The 27,489-nt window shown below is 38.9% G+C and overlaps 1 protein-coding gene across 10 annotated transcripts in view; it reads left to right on the top strand.

Annotated features, from left to right (window-relative positions):
* Positions 1 to 27,489, top strand: part of COL25A1 (collagen type XXV alpha 1 chain) — a 493,934-nt gene that overhangs the window by 302,747 nt on the left and 163,698 nt on the right. For all 10 annotated transcript variants that reach the window (NR_045756.3, XM_011532335.3, XM_011532334.3 and 7 more), the window contains 2 exons: positions 25,353 to 25,379; positions 25,519 to 25,545. Coding sequence is in view for 9 of the 10 variants with exons in the window: in XM_011532335.3 (XP_011530637.1) it covers positions 25,353 to 25,379; positions 25,519 to 25,545 (54 nt within the window). In the remaining variant the exon portion in view is untranslated. The remainder of the gene's footprint in view (positions 1 to 25,352; positions 25,380 to 25,518; positions 25,546 to 27,489) is intronic.

Below are 27,489 nucleotides of genomic sequence, written 5' to 3'. Positions count from 1 at the left end.
TCATCTCCCACCTACGAGTGAGAACATGTGGTGTTTGGTTTTCTGTCCTTGTGATAGTTTGCTGAGAATGATGGTTTCCAGCTTCATCCATGTGCCTGCAAAGGACATGAACTCATCCTTTTTTATGGCTGCATAGTATTCCATGGTATATATGTGCCACATTTTCTTAATCCAGTCTATCACTGATGGACATTTGTGTTGGGTCCAAGTCTTTGCTATTGTGAATAGTGCCGTAATAAACATACGTGTGCATGTGTCTTTATAGTAGCATGATTTATAATCCTTTGGGTATATACCCAGTAATGGGATTGCTGGGTCAAATGGTATTTCTAGTTCTAGATCCTTGAGGAATCGCCACACTGTCTTCCACAATGGTTGAACTAGTTTACAGTCCAACCAACAGTGTAAAAGCATTCCTATTTCTCTACATCCTCTCCAGAATCTGTTGTTTCCTGACTTTTTAATTATTGCCATTCTAACTGGTGTGAGATGGTATCTCATTGTGGTTTTGATTTGCATTTCTCTAATGACCAGTGATGATGACCATTTTTTCATATGTCTGTTGGCTGCATAAATGTCTTCTTTTGAGAAGTGTCTGTTCATATCCTTTGCCCACTTTTTGATGGGGTTGTTTGTTTTTTTCTTGCAAATTTGTGTAAGTTTTTTGTAGATTCTGGATATTAGCCCTTTGTCAGATGGATAGATTGCAAAGATTTTGTCCCATTCTTTAGGTTACCTGTTCACTCTGATGATAGTTTCTTTTGCTGTGCAGAAGCTCTTTAGTTTAATTAGATCCCATTTGTCAATTTTGGCTTTTGTTGCCATTGCTTTTGGTGTTTTAGTCATGAACTTTTTGCCCATGCCTATGTCCTCAATGGTATTGCTTAGGTTTTCTTCTAGCATTTTTATGATGTTAGGTCTTACATTTAAGTCTTTTATCCATCTTAAGTTAATTTTTGTATATGGTGTAAAGAAGGGATCCAGTTTCAGCTTTCAACATATGGCTAGCCAGTTTTCCCAGCACCATTTATTAAATAGGGAATCCTTTCCCCATTGCTTGTTTTTGTCAGGCTTGTCAAAGATCAGAGGGTTGTAGATGTGTGGTGTTATTTCTGAGGCCTCTGTTCTGTTCCATTGGTCTATATATCTGTTTTGGTACCAGTACCATGCTGTTTTGGTTACTGTAGCCTTGTAGTATAGTTTGAAGTCAGGTAGCATGTTGCCTCCAGCTTTGTTCTTTTTGCTTAGGATTGTCTTGGCTATGCAGGCCTTTTTTTATTCCATATGAAGTTTAAAGTAGTTTTTTCCAGTTCTGTGAAGAAAGTCATTGGTAGCCTGATGGGGATAGCATTGAATCTATAAATTACCTTGGGCAGGTTGGCCATTTTCATGATATTGATTCTTCCTATCCATGAGCATGGAATGTTTTTCCATTTGTTTGTGTCATCTTTTATTTCATTGAACAGTGGTTTGTAGTTCTCCTTGAAGAGGTCCTTCACATCCCTTGTAAGTTGGATTTCTAGGTATTTTATTCTCTTTGTAGCAATTGTGAATGGGAGTTCACTCATGATTTGGCTCTCTATTATTGGTGTATAGGAATGCTTGTGATTTTTGCACATTGATTTTGTATCCTGAGACTTTGCTGAAGTTGCTTATCAGCTTAAGGAAATTTGGGGCTGAGACGATGGGGTTTTCTAAATATACAACTTAGAAACATCTGCAGAGACAATTTGACTTCCTCTTTTCCTAATTCAAAACCCTTTATTTCTTTCTCTTGCCTGATTGCCCTGGACAGTACTTCCAACACTATGTTGATTGGGAATGGTGAGAGGGGGCATTCTTGTCTTGTGCCAGTTTTCAAAGGGAATGCTTCCAGTTTTTGCCCATTCAGTATGATATTGCCTGTGGGTTTGTCATAAATATCTCTTATTATTTTGAGATACATTCCATTAATACCTAGTTTATTGAGAGTTTTTAGCATGAAGGGCTGTTGAATTTTGTCTAAAGCCTTTTCTGCATCAATTGAGATAATCATGTGGTTTTTGTCATTGGTTCTGTTTACTTGATGGATTATGTGTATTGATTTGTGTATGTTGAACAAGCCTTGCATCCCAGGAATGAAGCTGACTTGATCATGGTGGATAAGCTTTTTGAGGTGCTGCTAAATTCTGTTTGCCAGTATTTTATTAAAGATTTTTGCATTGATGTTCATCAGGTATATTGGCCTAAAATTCTCTTTTTTTGTTGTGTCTCTACCAGGCTTTGGTATCAGGATGATGCTAGCCTCATAAAATGAGTTAGGGAGGATTCCCTCTTTTTCTATTGATTGAAATAGTTTCAGAAGGAATGGCACCAGCTCCTCTTTGTACCTCTGGTAGAATTCGGCTGTGAATTCGTCTGGTCTTGGACTTTTTTTGGTTGGTAGGCTATTAATTATTGTCTCAATTTCAGAGCCTGTTATTGGTCTATTCAGAGATTCAGCTTCTTCCTGGTTTAGTTTTGGGAGGTTGTAAGTATCCAGGAATTTATCCATTTCTTCTAGATTTTCTAGTTTATTTGCATAGAGGTGTTTATAGTATTCTCTGATGGTAGTTTGTATTTCTGTGGGATCAGTTGTGATATCCCCTTTATCATTTTTTATTGCATCTATTTGATTCTTCTCTCTTTTCTTCTTTATTAGTCTTGCTAGTGGTCTATTTTGTTGATCTTTTCAAAAAAACAGCTCCTGGATTCATTGATTTATTTGAAGGGTTTTTTGTGTCTCTATCTCCTTCAGTTCTGCTCTGATCTTAGTTATTTCTTGCCTTCTGGTAGCCTTTGAATTTGTTTGCTCTTGTTTCTCTAGTTCTTTTAATTGTGATGTTAGGGTGTCAATTTTAGGTTTTTCCTGCTTTCTCTTGTGGGCATTTGGTGCTATAAATTTCCCTCTACACACTGCTTTAAATGTGTCCCAGTGATTCTGGTACATCGTGTCTTTGTTCTCATTGGTTTCAAAGAACATCTTTATTTCTGCCTTCATTTCGTTGTTTACCCAGTAGTCATTCAGGAGCAGGTTGTTCAGTTTCCATGTAGTTCTGTGGTTTTGAGTGAGTTTCTTAATCCTGAGTTCTAATTTGATTGCACTGTGGTCTGAGAGACAGCTTGTTGTGATTTCTGTTCTTTTACATTTGCTGAGGAGTGTTTTAGTATCAATTATGTGGTTAATTTTGGAATAAGTACGATGTGGTGCTGAGAAGAATGCATATTCTGTTGATTTGGGTTGTAGAGTTCTGTAGATGTCTTTCTATTAGGTCTACTTGATCCAGAGCTGAGTTCACGTCCTGGGTATCCTTGTTAACCTTCTGTCTTGTTGATCTGTCTAATATTGACAGTGGGGTGTTAAAATCTCCCATTATCATTGTGTGGGAGTCTAAGTCTCTTTGTAGGTCTCTAAGGATGTGCTTTATGAATCTGGGTGCTCCTCTATTGGGTGCATATATGTTTAGGATAGTTAGCTCTTCATGTTGCATTAATCCCTTTACCATTATGTAATGGCCTTGTCTCTTTTGATCTTTGTTGTTTTAAAGTCTGTCTTATCAGAGACCAGGATTGCAACCCCTCCTTTTTTTTTTTTTTTTTTTTTCCCATTTGCTTGGTAGATCTTCCTCCATCCCTTTATTTTGAGCCTATGTGTCTTTGCATGTGAGATGGGTCTCATGAATACAGCACACCGATGGGTCCTGACTCTTTATCCAATTTGCCAGTCTGTGTCTTTTAATTAGGGCATTTAGCCCATTTACATTTAAGGTTAATATTTTTATGTGTGAATTTGATCTTGTCATTATGATGTTAGCTGGTTATTTTGCCCGTTAGTTGATGCAGTTTCTTCCTAGCATCGATGGTCTTTACAGTTTGTCGTGTTTTTGCAGTGGCTGGTACCGGTTGTTCCTTTCCATATTTAGTGCTTCCTTCAGGAGCTTTTGTAAGGCAGGCCTGGTGGTGACAAAATCTCTCAGCATTTCCTTGTTTGTAAGGGATTTTATTTCTCCTTCACTTATGAAGCTTATTTTGGCTGGACATGAGATTCTGGGTTGAAAATTCTTTTCTTTAAGAATGTTGAATATTGGCCCCCACTCTCTTCTGGCTTATAGGGTTTCTGCCGAGAGATCCACTGTTAGTCTGATGGGCTTCCCTTTGTGGGTAACCTGACCTTTCTCTCTGGCTGCCCTTAACATTTTTTCGTTCATTTCAACCTTGGTGAATCTGACAATTAGGTGTCTTGGAGTTGCTCTTCTCGAGGAGTTTCTTTGTGGTGTTCAATTATTTCCTGAATTTGAATGTTGGCCTGCCTTGCTAGGTTGGGGAGGTTCTCCTGAATAACATCCTGAAGAGTGTTTTCTAATTTGGTTCCATTCTCCCCGTCACTTTCTGGTACACCAATCAAATACATATTTGGTCTTTTCACATAGTCCCATATTTCCTGGAGGCTTTGTTCATTTCTTTTCACTCTTTTTTCTCTAATCTTGTCTTCTCACTTTATTTCATTAATTTGATCTTCAATCACTGATATCCTTTCTTCCACTTGATTGAATCGACTATTGAAGCTTGTGCACGTGTCACGAAGTTCTTGTGCCATGGTTTTCAGCTCCATCAGGTCATTTAAGCTCTTCTCTACACTGGTTATTCTAGTTAGCCATTCATCTAACCTTTTGTCAAGGTTTTTAGCTTCCTTGTAACGGGTTAAAATATGCTCCTTCAGCTCGGAGAAGTTTGTTATTACCAACCTTCTGAAGCCTACTTCTGTTAACTCGTCAAACTCATTCTCCATCCAGTTTTGTTGCCTTGTTGGTGACCAGCTGTGATCCTTTGGAGGAGAAGAGGCACTCTGTTTTTTTGAATTTTCAGCTTTTCTGCTCTGGTTTCTTCCCATCTTTGTGGTTTTATCTACCTTTGGTCTTTGATGTTGGTGACCTAGAGATGAGGTTTTGGTGTGGATGTCCTTTTTGTTGATGTTGATGCTATTCCTTTCTGTTTGTTAGTTTTCCTTCTAACAGGCCCCTCAGCTGCAGGTCTGTTGGAGTTTGCTGGAGGTCCACTCCAGACCCTGTTTGCCTGGGTATCACTAGCGGAGGCTGCAGAACAGCAAATATTGCTGCCTGATCCTTCCTCTGGAAGCTTTGTCCCAGAGGGGCACCCGCCTGTATGAGGTGTCTGTCGGCCCCTACTGGGAGATATTTCCCAGTCAGGTACACGGGGGTCAGGGACCCGCTTGAGGCAGCAGTCTGTCCCTTCTCAGAGCTTGAACGTCGTTCTGAGAGAACCACTGCTCTCTTCAGAGCTGTCAGACAGGGACATTTAAGTCTGTAGAAGCTGTCTGCTGCCTTTTGTTCTCCTATGCCCTGCCCACAGAGGTAGAATCTATAGAGGCAGTAGGCCTTGCTGACCGCAGTGGGCTCTGCCCATTTGGTGCTTCCCAGCCACTTTGTTTACACTGTGAGCTACTCAAGCCTCAGCAATGGTGGACGCCCCTCCCCCCATCAAGCTGCAGCCTCGCAGGTCAATCTCAGACTTCTGCGCTAGCAGTGAGCAAGGCTCCATGGGCATGGGACCCACTGCACCAGGCACGGGAGAGTATCTTCTGTTCTGCCAGTTGTTAAGACTGTGGGAAAAGTACACTATTTGGTCAGGAATGTACCGTTTCTCCAGGTGCAGTCTGTCACGGCTTCCCTTGGCTAGGAAAGGGAAATCCCCCGACCCCTTGAGTTTCCTGGATGAGGCGATGCCCCTCCCTGCTTCAGGTAGCCCTCTGTGGGCTGCACCCACTGCCCAACCAGTCCCAGTGAGATGAACCAGGTACCTCAGTTGGAAATGCAGAAATCATCTGTCTTCTGTGTCAATCTTGCTGGGAGTTGCAGACCAGAGCTGTTCCTATTTGGCCATCTTGGAAGCGACCTCCCCTCTGCCTCTTTTCTCTCTTTCGTGATAGATTTTCTGATCTTCAAAGGCAGGATCTATGCTTTCTTTCACTGTTAGTATCCCCCACAACACCTAATTTCTTGTTTTTTTTTTTTTGAGATGGAGTTTCACTCTTACTGCCCAGGCTGGAGTGCAATGGCACAATCTTGGCTCACTGCAACCTCTGCCTCCCGGGTTCAAGCAGTTCTCCTGCCTCAGCCTCTGGAGTAGCTGGGATTACAGGAACCTACCACCACGCCCAGCTAATTTTTGTATTTTTAGTAGAGATGGGGTTTCATGATGTTGGCCAGGCTAGTCTCAAACTCCTGACCTCAGGTGATCCACCCTCCTCAGCCTCCCAAAGTGCTGGGATTACAGGCGTGAGTCACCGCACCCAGCTTACCTAATTTATTTTCTTGCACATGGTGGAAGTTTAACAACTATTATTGAGTTGTAAATGGTACATATGAGTGCTTTAGGAAAAGGAGGTTGAGGGAAAGAGAAAACTATTAGCTTTTTAGAATTGGAAGTGCCCTAGCCCATTGTGGATGAATGGATAAAGAAAATGTGGTATGTTTACACAACCGAATACTATTCAGCCTTAAAAAGAGAAGGAAATCCTGTCATTTGCAACAACATGGATGAACCTGGAAGACATTATGCTAAGTGAAATAAGCCAGGCACAGAAAGATAAATACCTCGTGTTCTCATGCGTATGTGGAATCAAAAAATGTTGATCTTACAGAAGCAGAGGGTAGAATGGCAGTTATCAGCAGATGGCAGGGTTTGGGGTGGGAGTGTGGGATGATGTTGTTCAAAGGATACAAAATTCCAGCTAGGAGGAATAAGTTTAAGAAATCTATGGTACAACATGGTGACTACAGTTAATAACAATATACTGTATTCTTGGAAAATGCTAAGATTGGATGTTAAGTGTTCTCACCACAACATGATAACCATGTCAGGTAATGCATATGTTATTTAGCTAGACTTGGTCATTCTACAATGTATATATACTTCTGAACATCATGTTGTACATGAAAAATGCATATAATTTTTATTTCATTTAGCCTTGACTTGAGACTCAGAATACATATAATTTTCTCTGTCAATTAAAAATAGAATAATAAGAACAAAAAAAAAACAAAACAAACAAAATATAATGACCTAGTCAGTAATATCATGTGTCATAAATAGTGCCATTTAAATGACATCTCTGAGGTTCCTAAGCCCTGAGATTTTACTGAACACTTAGCAGTTTCAATAACTTGCGTCCACATGGTTTGGAGTGTGGATACCTTTGTTTCCTTCATTATGGTAGTTTATTTACATTGATATTTAATCTTTGGTGAAAATAAACAGTACTAACCCAGGGCCATACTTATGTTATGTTATTTTATTTTGTAACAATTTATTTGTGGGGTCTGAGGCTTGGCTTTCTTGGGACTATCATAGAAAATAGTTCATGGTGGTTGTGTATAACCACACATTCCTTAGATATCAATATTCTTCCACTAATAAAGACTTTTATACAAATTGTAGAAGCTAGTTATATTTTAAAACTTTCTCAGGATTCTATCCTGTATTCTTTACAAAGATCTATTGACCATGACTTTGGCCCAAATAACCCCATCAGTATCTTCAACAGAGGATAGTGAAATAGTAGGACATTGTATTAATGGCCTTCAACACTAAGACCATTTCTTTCGCATAAAATTGTTAGTTTCAAAGCCTCATAACTCTCTTTTGGAGTTTCATGAACATAAAGGAGATATAATTGCCTTAGGAATTTGGAGGAGTAAAGTGTTATGCGTGTTGTAATTCTGTATTACTCAGTGAGAAAAAAATGTGAGAGAAACCACAAGCAAGTACCATCGGACAACTGCACACAGGGGCTTGAGGCTGCCATTTGTACTTTTTCAGATGCTCTTGAAAAGAAGTGGAGGATGTCACTTTGCCTTTTCCCCCAAATCTTTCTTTGCTTCCTTCTGTGTGTGTGTTCTAATTATTAATTTCATTTCACAGTATTTTACTAAAATTTACAAAACTCAAGCTGTGTGTGCCTTAAAAAGGAATTATTCCTGAATAAAATATTATATTTTGGGGCAGTATTTAACTTTCTATTCATATGTTTTTAATTATATACTAAGCTCTTTCTAACCTAACACTTTAGAAATTCCCATATTTCATGTGTGTGTTCCAATCCAGCCTTTTTCAGATCATATAGCCTGACTTGGGGGCGGGGAGTGGAAGTAAATATACATTCTCCAAGAAATTCAAAAAGCGTGTGCCTTTGCATGCATATGTGTGCATGTGTGTGCAGAAAGTATTTTGCTCACTACACAACAGAACTGTCATATTAAACTAAGAATGTAGTCTATCCTAAAGAAATCATGCTAGACTTGCAAAGTATTATCATTTTCTGTTATATTATTTTATGTGGTGGTTGCATTATAAAGAGAATGATAATAAAAGTCTTAATATATTAGAATTTTTGATGTTTTATGAAGCAGATGGTTAATATGATATGAAAAACTCCATTGTACTCCAGATAGTTTATGTCTTTAAGAGTACACATGGTATAACGGCTTATTTATTTTACTATAATCCATATTTCATTGTTTTTAACATGATCATTTGTGTATTTAAATGGTGTAGTATCATCTCAGAGTTTAATTTTATCTTAGAATTTTTCTCACTGAAATTAGCTGAAGAATTTCTATTGCCTACTTTATGCTATGTTTTCTAATATATTCCTCTCAATTCTGCCTGAATAAAGGTAAATAACACGTAGCATTTCATGAATAATTAACTTAGTCCAACAATGTTTTGCATCTGTGGAAGCTGTTATCACTCCCTGAATTTACTCATTACTGCATCTTTATACAATACTGAGCTATAGAAAATGCACAATAAATTTCTGTTAAATAAATGTACATATTTAATCATTCAGATTTAATGATAATTTTATATGCATTTGATGATGAAATTCTGAGCCTACTGAAAATATCAGCTTTTAGCAGTCTGGTTGTACAATAGCAAATGAAACACATACAGGGTGAAGGGTATGGGCTCCAGGGGTAGGTACCTGGGTTTAAGTTGTGGCCTACCACTTATGAGCTGTATGACTTTGGACAAGTTAACTTTTTTCCTTCAGTTTTTCAATGTAAAATGAAAATAGCTGGTTTAACTTAATATGTGACCTAATGAAGCACTTAAAACAGTGTACTGGCACACATATATAACTGTTATTAGTAAAGGCATATTTATGCACATGTAAACACCCACATATATACCTTCTCACATAAGCACTCATACTGAGATAGAGCCATAATGACTTGATATTGCCCTTAGAGGTGGTACTTTACTTGCTGGATAAACACTTAATATAATAATAACCTCAAAGTAGATAGATTTTTTGGGATAAATAATTCAATATTAAAGTTAAGAAATAATGGAGCAACTATCACTGTTAGATATGGTTATAGCATAAGACCCTCTATGTAAATAAACATTTATGTGCACACGGTATGTATAATTTTCTTTAAAGAGAGCAAAGTTTTAGTTCAAAATGTTCTTCAGTGAAGTAAGATTAATTCACTTTGAAATATTTCAGACTTTAAAAATTTTACTTTTAAATTTTGTGATGTATATTATTTCTGTAGATATAATTTCACATATATATTTTTATCGATTCTTTTGAGATATATATATATATATATATATATATATATATATTTTTTTTTTTTTTTTTTTTTTTTTTTTGAGATGGAGTTTTGCTCTTGTTGCCCAGGCTGGAGTGCAATGGTGTGATCTCAGCTCACTGCAACCTCTGCCTCCCGGATTCAAGCGATTCTCCTGTCTCAGCCTTCTGAGTAGCTGAGATTACAGCCCCGCCACTATACCTGGCTAATTTTTGGTATTTTTAGTAGAGACGGGGTTTTACCATGTTGTGCAGGCTGGTCTCAAACTCCTGACCCCAAGTGATCCACCTGCCTTGGCATCCCAAAGTGTTGGCATTACGGGAGTAAGCCACTGCGCCCGGCGTATTTGGTAATTTTTATATCCTAGCCAAAATTCTTGATAGGCTAATTTTATTTTCTCTCTAAGCATCTTCAGACATTTCAACTGATATCACATTTTAAATATATACTTATTTTTTGGATAGTAGAGAGATTAAAATGGGGAATGCTATATGATAGTAGTTAGAAAAACAGTTCCAGAAACATGTTGTTCTGTTTTCTCTCTTTTGGGTAGGGCATGCTTAAATCTGGTTAGCACAGTGAGTGTAGCAGAGTCTAATCTTTCACCAAGTTAATGTTAGCCTATACACTTTAAGGTTTGTATTTTGTCTCTCCAAATGATCAGTATATCCAGTGCTAATTATTGGAACTCTTAAATCAGGCAGAATTGATCATAGTAATTCAAAATTAGTAAATTTTATTTTAATAAAAAATACGCAGAATTGAAGACAAGTCAAAGCTGATGTATCCTTAATTGATATAGTCAAGTAAATATCATCAATTATCATTTTGCTTAGAAGAGTTATAGCACACCTTCCTTGAAACTTCTTACGTGGCAACCTAAGCTATGGGGCTACTTGAAAAAAAATAAACATAGTAGAATTTTTCATTTGTGAAGGAAACATTACTACTTGCAATAAGCTCAGCACCACCATTGACATTTGTGCACACTGTGCACTGCACAAAGCAGCTCAGCCAAGGGGCAGGCACAGTTTGAAATCCAGCTTCTGCTCCACTTGCCTAGCTGGGAGCCTGGCAGCGAGCTTCATCTGGATGGAAGCCTCCTCTAACTGATCCAGTCCCAATTTGGGCCAGCAGGACCCTGAATAAAGTGCATGCAGTTTACTCAGAAGAAAACTACCAAGTCTTTGTGGTGAACATAATGATCTGAGATGAGAATAGGACATCCAGGAGCAGATGTAGAGTGGTCAGTAGGCAGAGTCCTGGAGAGAGGCCACAGTGGGATAGAGTGGACAAGTAGTAGCTGACACTGTGGAAATAAAGGGGATCCCCAGAGAGTGTGTAGAGGGGAAGAAAAGACAGAAATGAGGGTAGGGTTAATTATGAATTGCAGAAGACGGAAAGGTCCAGGGAAGGAAATTGAGAAAGCCCCATTAGTCGAAGACCCAGAGGAAAAGTGTTGCCAGTGAAGCTAAGGGAGAAATGGTGAGCATGTGAAATGTTACTGGGTTTGCAAGTAGAAAGTTATTCAGTAACTTCAGTAGCCTGGTGGTTTTCAGTGCAGCATTTGCCATGGTTTCAGGAGTGACTCGTTATTGAAAATGTGGGGGGAGTAAAAACAGAATAATTCTTTTTAAAACTTTGAAGTCACAGGGAGGAGGGAAACAGGAGCCAAAAATGTATGCCTGTGTTTGAGATATGAGAAAAACATTTCATTGAATACTGTTCATTTCCTCTCCAGGAGACTGTGCAAAGTTTTTATTCTTTCTTCTATTAACTCTCCTGACTTAGTGTCATGAGTCGACACATGAGAAATTGTAGTCACCCCAAAAGGCACAATTTCTAGTTGAACTCTATCCTCATAAGCACTCATTGGAAGCATGTTGGATACACAGATATCTGTGTCTTTTTTATTGCTATCAGGCTATTCAGAAAATACTAATTTTGGTCCCGATGTATTGTTAAAGGCCTTTGTTGCAGAAAATATGCTAATGTATTTATTGGATATTTACCATGTATAAGGCACAAAGCTACACATTTGAGAGAAAGGGAGTGGAAGTAATATTTACAGAAAAACCTGCATTCTTTTAATTACTTTCTACAACTTGCATATGAGGTAATTATTCTTTGCTCTAGGTTACAGATGTGGAAACTGAGGCTCAGAGAGGTTAAGTCATTTGCCAAAGGTCACGTGGTAGTATATATTAAAGCCTCCAAAGTCGGTGTTTGTTATGTTTCCCCATGTACCTCTTTTCCTACCCTCAAGGGCCCTGGTATGTTATTAAGAAACAAATCTTATTCCCAGCAGGGTGAGCTAAGTTTCATAAAAGTGACACAAGTGTTTTAGGAGTTCAGAAATAAGGAAAGGACATATTCAAAGGATAGTCTGGTAATGCTTTGGGGAGCGAGATCATGGAGATGAGTCATCAATGATTGCTATAGAGATTGTGAGCTTATGGGGGAGGTGGAGATGGGACTGTACTGCAAAAACAAAATTTTCTTCCAGAAACTCAAAAGTCTATGGTTTTTTTTTGTTTTTGTTTTTCCAAGTAGCTTCATAGCTCAGGCTTCCAGGTAAGACGTTTAAGAAAGGTATGCACGGCCGGGCGCGGTGGCTCACCTGTGTAATCCCAGCACTTTGGGACGCAGAGGCGGGTGGATCACGAGGTCAGGAGTTCAAGATCAGCCTGGCCAAGATGGTGAAACCCCGTCTCTACTAAAAATACAAAAAATTAGCCAGGCATGGTGGTGGGCATCTGTAATCCCGGCTACCCGGCAGGCTGAGGCAGAGAATTGCCTGAACCCGGGAGGCGGAGGTTGCAGTGAGCAGAGATCATGCCACTGCACTCCAGCCTGGGCGACAGAGCGAGACTCCATCTCAAAAAAAAAAAGAAAAAGAAAAAAAAAGAAAGGTATGCTGTAACTATTCCAAGCAAAATGACAATTGATAATGTTTATTCAGGAGAAAGAAGGACGTAAGTAAAGATAGAGAGAGTGAGAAGACAGAGGGTCATTTTGAGAATAGATGGTATTGAAGACAGGCTGGAGGAGAGGCTCCTTGTGGAGAATTGGGGAAGATAAGGCAGAAAAGGAAAATTAGGAGCAGGTTATAGAAGGCTTTGGACACAGGTAGAAGTTAATGCTTTATTTGGCATGAATGGGAAGAGCATTGTAAAATAAATTTTTAAATTATATAACTACTATGGGAATGTTCAAAGATTCTCAAAAGGAGGAGAAAATAGTATCATAAATTGACCTAGACCTATCACCCAGCCTCAAGAAACATCAATTGCTAATCTTACTTTTATGAATCCCTTTCCTCTCATTTATTTTGTTTTGTTTAGTTTTTGCTGGTATATTTTAAAGCAAAGCTTAGATATTATGTTGTTATATTTACAAATACTGAAATATGAATCTCTAACTGATAGAGGCTTTGGAAAACATAACCACCATTTTATCATCAACCCTAATAAAATTACCAGTAATTTCTTAATATCAACACTCAGTCCATATTTAAATTTCACCAATTGTCTCAAAAATGTCTTTTTACAGATGTTTTGTTAGAACCAAGACCCAAAGCCTGCACTTGGCATTTAATTATTAAAACTCTTCAGTCTTTCTTATTCTATAGTGGTCTTCCTTCCCCTTATTGTTTCATGAAATCAGTTTTTCTAGGACATTTATTATATATTTAGAGTGTCCCACATTCTGGATTTGTCTAATTACTTCCTTTTGGTATTATTTAACTTGTTCCCCTATGTTCTCTGTTTTATTTAAACTACAGGTTACATTCAGAAGATTGAGTAGGTTTGGCTCAATTTTTAGGAAAACCTGTAATAAATGTATAGTACAATTCTTAGTTCATTATATCAAGAAGTACACAAAGTTTGGTTGATCAGGAGGTCAAGGTATGTTGACCTGATACCCAGCAACCTTTCACCAAATACATCTATTGAAGATTGTTGTCTATGGCAACTTTTTCATTGTAGATTACAAAATGGGCCCCTGAAGTTCTTTGAGCTGAGGAATGATATGCTCAGCAATGTGCTTTAGAAAAATTAATCTGACAAAAGTATGTAGGATGGAGTAGAAGAGGTAAGGCCAACAGAGGCTTGTAGATTATTCCAGTTATCCAGGAATAAGGGTGCAACAAACATGAAAAGATGGCCATAGATTCAAGGGATTTTGTGGAAAATGAAATCTATAGGACTTGGCAATAGATTAAGTTAAGTGAATCAAATATAATACTCAGCTTTTAGGCTTGGAGGAGCAGTACTGTGTTTAACAAAAATAGGAAAAATAGGAAAGTCAAGAATCATGAATGGCTTGCAACAGAAATTGAGAAATTTGGTTTGAGAATGTTGAATTTGAGCTGATGATAGTATATGTTGGCTTATACATCTGGTGACCACTTGAGAATGCAGGATTGCAGCTTGAAAAAGAATTTAGGACATAAGTCAGGTAATAGTTATAGCCTTAAGGGTATATATTTCATAGCTAATGAGGGAAGTAGAGTAAAAAACAAAAAAGGTTTAGACACAAACTTGGGCAATCTGAATGTTTACAGGTTTTGTCAACCCCATCTTCCCAAAACTCCAGTTTATTTGGTTTTAGTTTCACCAGAGATAACTCCTCTCTTATGCCTTGAGGACTGGCTCAGCAGTTTTCCTTCCCATAGTTTAGCTTTCTGCTTCCTAATGGAAAGAAATGTCCCCAAGATCAGTATGTATTTCAACTCATGTTTATTTTTCCCAAAACAGACCGTAAAAATATGACGTCTATTCTGCTACCTCCCCTTCTGTCCTGCAATTCAACTTCCTTTCTATGCCCAATCTACTTAGGGAGACAGTGAGGAAGAAGACAAGACATTAAAATGAGGGAGTAATGGGCAAAGGCAGCTTTGCTTCCCCTTGTCTTTAGGAGAGGGTGAAAGAACATGTTCGAAGAGCATGGAGGAGAATCCAAGGTAATGGGAATGATTGAAGAGACAAGTGAGAAAAAGAGTAACTGGGGCAAGGCTGGGAGGAAGCACAGAAGTGGGTAGGTACAGTGTTCTTCACTCCACAGAGAGAAGGATGAAGGTACAGAAGACTCTGAAGATTGGGAGTGTGGTAGTTGTAGAAGCTCATATTAAAAGCCTTTGATGATCTTAGGCATCAACTGAAAAGGAGGGAGATCCAATATACATTGGAAGAAGGAGAATGGTAGACAAGCCCTGAGAGTCAGACTCTCCTAGCCTCATCTGAGAGTCATTTTTTAATTCCTTCTGAGTATCTCTTTAGACTCCAAGGAACATCTTACCCTTATCCTGTGTTGTGCTTAGGGGCCCTTCATAAAACCTATATTGCTCTACATACTGAGAGGTGACAGCATGCTGGCAGTCCTCACAGCCGTCGCTGGCTCTTGGCGCTTCCTCTGCCTGGGCTCCCACTTTGGCGGCACTTGAGGAGCCCTTCAGCCCGCCGCTGCACTATGGGAGCCCCTTTCTGGGCTGGCCAAGGCCGGAGCCGGCTCCCTCAGCTTGTGGGGAGGTGTGGAGGGAGAGGCGCGGGCAGGAACAGGGGCTGCGCGCGGTGCTTGCGGGCCAGCGGGAGTTCCGGGTGGGCGTGGGCTCAGCGAACCCCGCACTTCGGAGCGGCCGGCTGGCCCCACCTGCCGCGGGCAGTGAGGGGCTTAGCACCTGGGCCAGCAGCTGCTGTGCTCAATTTCTCGCTGGGCCTTAGCTGCCTTCCCGCGGGGCAGGGCTCGGGACCTGCAGCCCGCCATGCGTGAGCCTCCCTCCCGCCCCCCTCATGGTCTCCTGTGCGGCGGGAGCCTCCCCAATGAGCGCCGCCCCCGCTCTAGGGCGCCCAGTCCCATCAACCACCCAAGGGCTGAGGAGTGCAGGCGCACTGTGGGGGACTGGCAGGCAGCTCCACCTGCAGCCCCTGTGCGGGATCCACTGGGTGAAGCCAGCTGGGCTCCTGAGTCTGGTGGGTAGGTGGAGAACCTTTGTGTCTAGCTCAAGGATTGTAAATACACCAATTGGCACTCTGTATCTACCTCAAGGTTTGTAAACACACCAATCAGCACCCTGTGTCTAGGTCAGGGTTTGTGAATGCACCAATCAACACTCTGTATCTAGCTACTCTGGTGGGGACTTGAAGAACCTTTGTGTGGACAGTCTGTATCTAGCTAATCTGGTGCGGCCTTGGAGAACCTTTGTGTCTAGCTCAGGGATTGTAAAGGCACCAATCAGCGCCCTGTCAAAACAGACCACTCCGCTCTACCAATCAGCAGGATGTGGGTGGGGCCAGATAAGAGAATAAAAGCAGGCTGCCCGAGTCAGCAGTGGCAACCCGCTTGGGTCCCCTTCCACACTGTGGAAGCTTTGTTCTTTTGCTCTTTGCAATAAATCCTGCTGCTGCTCACTCTTCGGGTCCACACTGCCATTATGAGCTGCAACACTCACTGCGAAGGTCTGCAGCTTCACTCCTGAAGCCAGCGAGACCACGAACCCACAGGGAGGAACGAGCAACTCCAGACGCACCGCCTTAAGAGCTGTAACACTCACTGCGAAGGTCCGCAGCTTCACTCCTGAGCCAGCGAGACCATGAACCCACCAGAAGGAAGAAACTCCAAACACATCCGAACAAACTCCAGATGCGCCACCTTAAGAGCTGTAACACTCACTGCGAGGGTCCGCGGCTTCATTCTTGAAGTCAGTGAGACCAAGAACCCACCAATTCTGGACACAATACTACTGCAAATGAAGCAAAGAATCCAACTGACCGGCAAACAATGTTTCTTAAGTAGCCCGGGTAAAATTATGTTGGGACAATATATTAGGAAACATGCTGAAATCGATAATTATAGATTAAACCCAAGGTATAAACATGAACGTATCTCTGAATACATTTGAATCGTGTTGAGGACAGTAAGAGCATTTTAGGGTAGATTGCACCATTAGCTGTAAAATCACAGGGCTACTAGGGCATTAAAAGAGCAAGTTGATACTTTCTTTCGACAAAAGGAATGTTTAGGATTCCAAGTCTTTCACCATGGAGTTCATTTTATTTGACCTCTTAAAAATAAGTTAAAAAAAAATCAAAGTTAAACAAAGAAGTTTTAGCAATTTCTTAAAACATGTGAGGCAAGGAATGATGCTAGGTAGAAGGGTTCCCTTCGTTTTGATTGGCAGGAGCGGTAATTTGACTGTATTTAATTTGTATTGTGTTAGAAAAGAAAACCAGAGAGAGCGTCCCTGATTCCTGCTGTTTTATAAGCCTTTAACTCCATTGAGCTACATCAGTCTTACTTTTGAGAGTCCTTTTTTAATGTTTGGTTTTTCTAAATGTTCTTTAGTGCTAGACCCACTAATTGCTTCCTTATGGCAGCTGCTTTTGATTTAAGACTGATCATGGGCACATATAGTCCCTTGTTCAGGGCTCAGATGGACATCACAAAAAACCTTATAGTTATGATCTTACTGTGGAAAATGCCCAGAAAATAATAGCCATAAAAATTTGTTTTCTAGTAAGTGAGGCTGGTTTTGATATTTTAAAAGTTTCTGTTTATACCCACCCCCTCTGCTTGGTCTCTTTTAATCTTCAGTACACACTGAAAGGTGTAAAGTCTGAAGCTATAAATCTGTTTATAGCTATAATTCCCTTCCCTGGCTTAGCAGAGTTTGACACTATAATAAACACGGTTCTTCTGCAGCAACATTGAATCTGGTTCTTCTATAATGCTTTATATGTTGCTGTTTTGAACACAGAGTTTTATTGCATTCTTTTCTTTCTGGGCCTTTCAATTCAGCAAGAACTGGTTGGGCACCTACTCTATGCTACGGGTGACTAGGTGGTTCTAGGGCCTGACGTTTAGTCTATTTTAATCATAAAAGTAATGTGGTTAAAACTACGACCAAGTTTATTTGTTTTGTTTGGTAATAGTTCCTTAACGATAGAGGTAGACTATATTAGACCTTCCTATTCTCGAAATATTTCCACCGTCCCCCCAGGACATTTCCCAAGGCATTTTCTTTTGGTTTAGGAAATCAATTGTATTTCTTTTTTGTTTTGTTTGTGTGTGTGTGTTTTTTGAGACAGAGTCTCACTCTGTTGCCCAGGCTGGAGTGCAGTGGCACGATCTCAGCTCACTGCAAGCTCCGCCTCTTCGGTTCAAGCGATTCTCCTGCCTCAGCCTCCTGAGTAGCTGGGATTACAGGCGCATGCCACCACGCCTGGCTAATTTTTGTATTTTTAGTAGAGACGAGGTTTCACCATGTTGGTCAGGCTGGTCTCGAACTCCTGACCTTGTGATCTGCCTGCCTCAGCCTCCTAAAGTGCTGCATGAGCCACCGTGCCTAGCCAGGAAGTTGATTGTATTTCTTTATCCTCAAGTCAAGTATCTGAAAAATAAATTTTATTTTATGTTTATGATAATTAAAATATTAAGTGTGTACTTGATAATTACTATTATATTATTGGTAGGGCAGGCATTTTATAAATTGCTTCATGTATAATATTTTATTTTAGCCAAACAGTGGGCATTATTTTCCCCATTTTAAGATTAAGAAATTGCGGAACAAGGAGATTAATTAACCATTTAAAGATCACACAGGTGATTGTAGCCAGGATTTCAATCTGCATCGGTTTGACTCCAAAACTTGAGCTCTTAACCGCCAAGATATGTTATTTCATGTACTGCATTTTAAAGTAACTCTCAAATTCTACTTTCACTTTTTTTTAACTTTTTTACTGAAGCATTTAAAAAGATATTAAACACAAGTATCCACACACACAATTTATCTATACTTACATACGGGAACTCCTATGATTTTACATCAGTTTTTTCAGAAAAAGTTATTTTAACTTTAAAATTTTCACATTTGTAGTTCGTTATTTGCAAAGTTGAAAGTCTATAAAACAACTTAGTGGTTTGAAGAAGAAATGTCTCTAAAAAATGTGTGCCAGTAAAACAGAAAACTATGTATGAGTTTAAGGTGAAAGTAAATACTCGAAAGAACACATGTTCACATTCTAGTTGGAGGTAAACCTGTACTACATAAAACACTTTTTTTCAGAAGTAGGGTGGATGTATCCTCACCTAAATACCTAGGATCCCTATTTTTCAAGTAAAACACTAGATTTTCAATTGTTAATACTATTTGCAATGTGGTTTTCTGCAGTTTTAGAGACCTGTTAAGAAACTGTGGTACCAAATTCAGTTTCCTTGTAAGTGTGGGGATTGAGTATGTGTGTCATTGGCACTATGAGTCAAGTTCATCATGCAATTTAGGGAGTAGGCAGTAGAATTGAAGCTTCTATCCTAGTTGTACAAGAGAAAAACGGGATATTCCGCTTCCTCCCTGTGAGATTGTGAACATCGATGTTTGCTTGTGCCTGAGCACATCAGAAAGAAGATCCACATCAGACGTGCGGTGACCATTGAGGTTGTGCTGTGCTCCTAGAGGACGGCTTGTACAGCAGACTATCTTCTTTATCTTTAAAAGAGTAGGAAACTTGTGGAGTTTAAAATAGAGTAATTCCATATTCAGTTTACAGTTGAAAAAGTAGAGGAAAGAAAATGTGATAAAGGTTTCCTCTATTCAGAAGTTAACACGGAAGAATTGTGGCTTCTGAGGGGAGGCAGTTATGACTACCTCTGTGCTGCTTCTGCTCAATGGTGGTGATAGAGAATGTTTTCTCTCTCCTCAGCTATTTCCAATTAGGCCAGCCGACGCTGCCAACACTGTGGATTTGAAATATAACACTAAAACCAGATTTAAACTCTATTTGATTCACTTGGCTGTGGAACTGCTGTGTTCATCTACGTTGAACCAGCTTAGGCCAAAGCTTGTCTGCAAATACACTAAATTGTGAACCTTGAAATAAGTAGGACTTGTTAAAACATGTTGACACCTGTCAGTGGCCCCCATGTCCAATCAGTTAACCAGTCTTGTTGTTTTTTACTTGAGAAATGTCTCCTGAATCTAGACCTCTCCCTGTGCCTCCACTAGCACAACCTTAATTCAAAGCTTTACCATCTCTCTTTTGGACCAAGGCAAATACTTCCTAAGAATCCCGAACACCCCGTGTTCTCAGAGTTCCACAAAACAGAGCACACTTCATCTCCGCACTCCTTGTTACATTGATGACAGAATCCAGCTCAAACGCCTGAGTGTGGTTAACCAGCCTTTTAAAATCTCTTTCCTGCTATTTTCTATCTCCACTCCCCACATGTTCTTACCACCCTGAACTCCTTTCTCTGACAGAGTGGTATTTTCTCACAACTGGGCATGTGCATCCCTTCCCCCCGGGCCTGCTTCGCTCCTCCTCCCTCCATCTTCCATCGCCTTACTCCTGGATATCTTTCAAGAGCCAGTTCCAATAGCATCTTTTCAACTCCAGCTCTCCCACCTCTTTCTGCTCTGTACTCCCACAACACAGTATTTAGTCCACTGATTGTGATTATATTTACATGTCCCTCCTCCAGACTCAGAGTACATCGCCTGGCTGATAGTGAGCCAGAAATTCTTAGAGAATGAAGCTTGCTTGTCCTCATATTTCTACAGCAATGAATAGATTAATCAGAAAAGGTTTTGTTATATTTCATGAATAAAAATAAACTTATCTATTCTTTCCTGGGATAGAAGTCATAACCCCATTCTTATTCCAGGCACTCGGGCTGCCAAGAATTCCCAGCATTTGCTCCTTTTCCACTTTTTTCTACCCCAAGCAGAATTTAATTTTGTTTTCATGATTGTCATCTTTTAAAAACTATTCCTGCCTTAGTTTTTTCCAGTTCAAAGCAAATATAATTTACAGTTCCAGTAAATAAAAAACCATGATTGGGTTACTCCAGGCCTATGAATATATCTCTCTTTTCCAGCTGTATTTCCATTGCTGTTATGTAGATTGAAATTCAATATTTTCCTGAATGTCATTCATTGTGCCTCTCTTTGTTTTTAGTTTGGTTTTATCATTTAATTGAAATAGACAATAGAGCATAGGAAAAAAGCTAAAACCTTAGTTACTTAAACGGAAGTAGATTTGAGGAGACTTAAATTGGTATAGGCCAAAACCCACATTAAAGGCTTTTTACAAATAGAAGGGTGGTTCTTGCAAACTCTGAATGTAAAGCCGTTTGAACAGGGGCTAATTTTAAGTTTGCCACAGAAATTTAGAAATCCTTTGGTGTAGGAAGTTAATAACATTCCAACAATGCCCTAAAATAAATCTTCTAATTACTAACAACACTAATAAATAAAAACTTTATTAGCACCCTTAAGTACTTATTAATGTAATTAACTTTAGGATTAATTACATACAACTAATTCAAAAGATCATATCAAATATTCCTACTTATTTATTAAAGTGGGGCTTATAAAAGATCTGACTATTGGATTCTAGACCAAACCAGGACAAGAGTCCCCAAAAGGGCCTTCTATAGAGCTGTGACTCACTGTTCACTTCCCTATGACTGCTAATTTTACCATCTTTCCTTTCCATTGACCCTAACCTTGTTGGAGCAACAAAGTTTTATCTTCAAATAGTTACCAATCAGCCATTGATACTGTCACCTGAACAATAAATATGTCTACTAAATATTAGATTGTTGAGCTTGGTTTAGTTGGAAACAGCAATGTGCCATTGAAAAATAATTTGTAATTCAAATAGCCATTAATTTTTATTGCTGCCTATCCTTTAGTTAATACTAGTTAGCTTTTTTAATGCTAAAGATAAAAAAAAATTAATACCCCAATTTTAATTTTAAAGGGTAATGTTCAAATAAACCTTTCTTTCATTTGTAATTTTTTGACTTAGAAAAGAAGTATGGCTTCTAAATTTTGGAAATATTATACTATCTGTGTTTACTAAGGTAGCCCACTTTGTTCTGCAAATTTAACCCATATTTTCAGTGAAGAGGGTCCAATTCGGAAGGAAGAGTGGGATTTCAGTCAGAGCAGAAGAAAACACCTGCTGTTAATCCAAGTGCACAAGTCGGGGCCGGAGCGTCCGAAGCAGCCGCTGCAGCTGTGCATGGAGGTTGACCTCGGCTTTGCTTCTGTCCTAAGCTGGCAGGTGCCAGGACGCCATACTGTCTGCTCAGAAACACCATCTTTTGAGGCAGCAATATTTATTGCTCAATTGTAGATGCAAATTAAGCATTCTTGCTCAGGGCAAGTTGGCTAAAGAACTCTAGTTGATACGTGGATTTGGCATGAGTAATTGGACTTTGAGGAAAAGGGTTGTCTCTGTTCCTCACTGTCAAATAACTTCACAAAAACTTTGTCCTTAAAGATGCTGTGTAACCTAACAAGGTGCCTTTAGAGGACTGGTACAATGGGAGATGTGGCCTGTGAAATCTCACTGGCAAAAGCAAACAAAAGTTTAAAGAGAAACCTGGGAAGGGGGTGGATATGGAGGCTGGGGAGGTGTCTATAGTAACAGTTGACCTTGATGTAGCTGAGTTTTGTAGAGGTCGTTTTTTCTTAATGCTACTATGTGGAAACTGTTTGCCTTAGACACTAGGCTATTTAGCTTCTCCAGGACAGGGACTATGTCTTTCTAAATCAGCCTTTCCCAAACATATATGTTCCCCCAGTGCTTACAGTGTTGCCACACTGTATAGACATTCAACAAATGTGTGTAAAAATCGAAATAAAGTTAACTAACATGCTACTTAAATCAAGACTAGAACCTCAATTGTATTTTTTAAATTTGGTCATATCCTCTCATTATTATTTTCTTTGGCTTTCATCTGCCCCACCACAAATAAAATCCTACTTGTATAACCTTAGTAAGCATTTTGCATGTGTTAAAAATAATTGAATAAAGTCCTTAAACTTAATTTTCCAGAGATGAACACACAGACTGTACTCACTAATTACTAGTTGATTCATGGAAAATAATAAAAATGTTAAAAATTTATTGAAAACAAAAATAATATTTTCTCTTTCCTCTTTTAACTTGCAAAATGATTTTGGGGGTAAGAGATAAAAAGGTTTTATAAAGTTGATTTCCATTATCTTAGTCCCCTCTGCCCCTCCTCACTCCTCCTCTATTCCCCTTTCTCTCATTTTGAACTTGAGACGCTGGGACTAGTGTCTGTGACACTGTGGAAAATGCACTAGGGAGGCATTTTAGATGGCGCTTGTTGAAGGCAGGCACCAGATAGGTATCCTTCTTTCTGAGACTCTAGTTCCAGAGCTGTGTTCCAATACTTTGTGTCAAAACCTCTGCATTTAAAGTCACACATACTGGGTTAAAGTCCTTTCTAACTCACAAGAAGCCTAACATTGATAGTCTTTGAGTTTCATTTTTGGCATCTGTAAAAGGATTATCATAATACTTATCTCGTTGGATTGTGGAAAAGATTAAATGCAATAACAGGTGAAAAAGTTTCTTGTCAATGGTAAAAGACACAAAGTATAGGACATGATGTAGTTATTAGTAATTTTATGGTAATTTCACAGCTGTTACCAGAAGGGCCACACTGAGAATGGGAATTTGGTGCAGTTACTCTGTAGCTGGTACTTAGCAAAAGGAAATGTTTTGGAAGGTGGAGCATTGCTACGTTCCCACCTGCAGTGACATAGCAGCCTCCACTGGCCCCTAGGATGGGGTACTTTGCTAGAACCTGGGCCTGTTTCCTGTCCAGCCTTGTCCTTTTTCCTCAGCCCTGCTGAAAATGGAGGTGAGAGAAGGTGACTCTGAAATGCTCCAGCTCCTCAGGTGGGCTGAAACCAAAACATGACTTTATCTTTAAGAGCTAGAAAATGTATCAGTGCCTCTAGAATTAGTATTTCTGTTCAAAGGTAAGGAAAATCTCAATGAGGCCCAGGAATAGACAGCTGCCCAACAAAATAGAAATTCCTGTAAAGAGCCACATACGTAGCATCACTTAACTTATGACAAAGGTAATACTGTACTATAATGGGGAAAAGGTACATTTTCAAGAAATGGTGTTTGGTTAATTTGATATCCACATTTTTAAAAAGCATCTTGACTTTTACCTCACATCATACACAATCAGTTCTTAATAAATTCAGATTTCAATATGGAAGATAAAATAATGAAGTTTTTGGCTTATAAAATAAACTTTAGCTAAAAAAATAGCTTCTAAACTAAAATGGAAAGCCCTCTTTATGACATTGAAGTAGGCAAAGATTTCTTAAGTGGAATATAAAAAGGGACAACTATAAAGAATAAAAAATGTTAAATTGAGTTTTATTAAAATTAAGAACTCAGAGGTGTTCATCAAAAACACCTGTAAGAGAATGTAAAGGCAGTAAACAAAGTGGGAAAACATATTTGCAGTAAATATATCTGACAAAAGACTCATTCAAAATATATAAATAACTCTACATCTACCTACATACATATGTACAATATATAATATATAATAGATAAAGAACTCTAGCAAATCAACAGGACAATTCAGTAGGCCAAGGACAAAAGGTATGAAGAGACACTTTATGAAAAAGGATGTAAAATGGTCAATAAGTATATTAAAAGGGAGTTCAATTTACTAATCACTGGGTAAATACATACTAAAACATGATGTGAAATTACTACATCACCACCAGAATGCCTAAAATGAAAAAGATAGAAAATATCAAATATTGGTAATATGGGGCAACTGAAATTCTATACATCGCTGATGGGGCTTAAATTGTTAAGAATCACTTTGAAAAACCATTTGGCAGCATCTACTAAAACCGAACATATGTATAGTCTGTAACCTAACAGTTCCTTTTCTAGATATACACCCAGCAGAAATGAATATACATTTTCACAAAAGACATGAATTACTATGTTCATAGCACTGTTTTTGGAGACAGTCTTGCTCTGTTGTCCAGGCTGGAGTGCAGTGGCACAATCTCAGCTCACCTCAACCTCCACCTCCCAGGTTCAAGCGATTCTCCTGCCTCAGCCTCCCAAGTAGCTGGGATCACAGGCATGCGCCACCACACCCAGCTAATTTTTGTATTTTTAGTAGAGATGTGGTTTCAACCATGTTGGCCAGGCTGGTCTTGAACTCCTGACCTAAGGTGATCCACCCGCTTTGGCCTCCCCAAGTGCTGGGATTACAGGCATGAGCCACTGCGCCTGGCCATAGCGTATTTTTATAATAGCCAAGACCTAGAAACTCCTGGAAACAAATGGCTGCCAACACTAGAATGAATAAGTAAATGATGATATAGTCATACAGTGGAGTATTATAAAGCAGTAAGAACAATCTACAACTACACACAAAATTATGGATGAATTTCATACTAATTAAGCAAAAGAGGCCGGACTCTATGATTTTATGTACATGAAGTACAAAAACAGACAAGCTAATCTATATTGTCAGGGGTCAGAATAGTGGTTACTGTTGGTAGAGGGTGGTGACAAGGAAATGTCCCAACAGGAGCTTCTAACTTGCAGGTAATGTTCTATTTCTTTAACTGGGTTCTACTTGCATACATGTGCTGAGTTTGTGAAAATTTATTGAGCATATTATGTACTTATGACATGATATGTACAGGTATACATGCACAAACATATATGGTTATATGTTTCACATTCTAATATGATTATAGTTTAGAAACCAAAATTTCTTGAGAAACCTCATTGACAGCTATCTCTGTATTCTTTGAATGAATCTTTCAACTAACCTGGCTGATCTATTCAGTTTACAATATCTTTTTTTAATTAAAATTTTTTTTCTCTTTCTTTTTTTCAGGGCCCTCCTGGTCCAAAAGGCGATAAGGTAAGAAAATGCATACCAGAAATAAAGTTAGTGAAGATCCATATTGGCGTGACCTATACTGTGTTACATTTTGATCTTTTTAATGAACATCATGTATAAATTTTGGCTAAAACTGTTATCTCACCTTTCTATTCTACAGGGAGAACAAGGTGATCAGGGACCTAGGGTAAGTTGTGCTCTACCTATCTTGGGCGGAAAATTAGTTTCTAACTCCAAGTTTATTGAATGAAAGTACCCCAGCTTCATAACTGCCTTTGTGCCACATGGTTCAGTAATGGCTGGCAAAAATACCATACCACTTGTAAGTGAAAAAAACCTGATTAACGATTTGGATGTATTCTGTTGCATTATCTTTACTTGATGCCTATAAATAGAAAATTCTACAATAATTAGACATATTGAGTAAGGGCCAGAATCACTTCTAAGAATCAATAGCAGCCACCTTTCCCGTGACTATTGAGTCCTTCAGATTTGCATGAATTGTTTCACAACATAGAGGCCATATGGATTTCTATTGAATTTGGCCTTTTGCTGCAGTTAAACCTTACGTGCTATTGCATAAATGTTTTTTTACAGATAAAATTATCAGTGCATTTTACATATTTGTTCTTTGCCATAAGTTTGCATGATACTTATTTGAATTTCTAGTTTTTATAGATTTTTAAGCAGATAAAAGGTGTAATACAATTTAGCATTGCAGGTAGGAGGGAGCATTCTTTTAAGCTTCTCAGATGTGGCCCTTTTAACCATTATAACACAATGGTGAATGCTTTGTTGTTACCTTGGTAGTGCCAAGTCCTCTACTTCACATCTGTGCCTTATTACCCAAATGTTCAGACATACTGTTTCAATGATGTAGTGGCTCCGTTCGACATACCTCTCAATTTTCTCATGTCACTATGCACAAAAGCAAGTATTTGGTTGAATAGAGTAATTTTTTACAGTGGAAAGGCTCATTTAAAACTTTCAGGTTGAAAAAAGAAACTATGTAGGTCTTTCTGTAAAATTCACTGTGCTTAGTTACTTATTAAATGCATTTATACTGCATAGAGATATTTTTGCAAAAGATGCAGTTGATGCAAACTTGAAAGGTTTGTAGTTGTATTATCTCCTCATGTTTCTTAAACTAGACAAAAGTTATGCTATGATTTATTATACTTTCCCTTTTGTTCTTCAGTCACTTCTTCATATAGAAATACTGATTATGTTTCACAGCATTTTGTTTCTCGTGGCAGTTACTCTGGCTGATGACTAGCTTCAAGCCAAATGCTCATTTTAGGAGATTAAACACCACGTTATCCACTGTCATGGATGTGAATAAAATAAGACTCTCATAACCTTAAGTGATTAGAATACAGCCATTTGCTCTGTATGTGGTGATTATTTCACATGACATGTCTCCTCATATCGAGTATCATTTCTTTCTACACGCAATATCAAAATCACTCAACTTCCCCTTTCCAGGTAAGAGGGAAACTGTTTCCATTCTGAGAAATCTTCTTTTGGCAAAGGAAGTGAAGGGTGGTTCACAGCTTAGCTGTCATCAGTATGCATGCAGTCCTCATTTTCAAAAAGGTGTGTTGGCTTTCATCGTTAAAAAGAGTGATGATTGATTATAAAGCTAGGCCAAATTTTCAGGATGAAACCTGAAACCATCTGAAATTCACCTGGTTTCATGTTGCATTACAAACTAAGACTTGGACCAGGTTCCTTGAAAGTTTGGCCAAAGTTCATGAACTACTTCGACAAACCCAGACTGCCTTTCATGCAGATTTCAGCCAGTTTTCACACTGAGTGGGGCCAAGTTTCACTCAATTCAGAGCCCATTTAGCATTTCAGGTGGAAAGTGGCAAAAAGTGATCTCATTTTCCTCTGTATTTTGCTTTGTATTGAAGGAATTTGGGTTGAATTCCTAATACAGGATGAATCTTCATGGGTACGAATCTAAATGTCCTGGAAGGTAGAGGTGAAAGAGAATGAGAACCCACTGACTTGCCTGTCTTTTCTCAGATTCCAAGCAGGTCTCATTCAGTGCTCTTAGAATTTTGTAAACATTACTATCTAGTAAGATAGTATTAGCTACATATTAGGAAATTGATCATATCAAGAT

This window comes from Homo sapiens, chromosome 4 (genome assembly GCF_000001405.40).
Source record: "Homo sapiens chromosome 4, GRCh38.p14 Primary Assembly".
Taxonomy (NCBI): Eukaryota; Metazoa; Chordata; class Mammalia; order Primates; family Hominidae; genus Homo; species Homo sapiens.
Note: the sequence above shows the minus strand (reverse complement) of the source record. Positions and strands in the feature narration are given on the sequence as shown.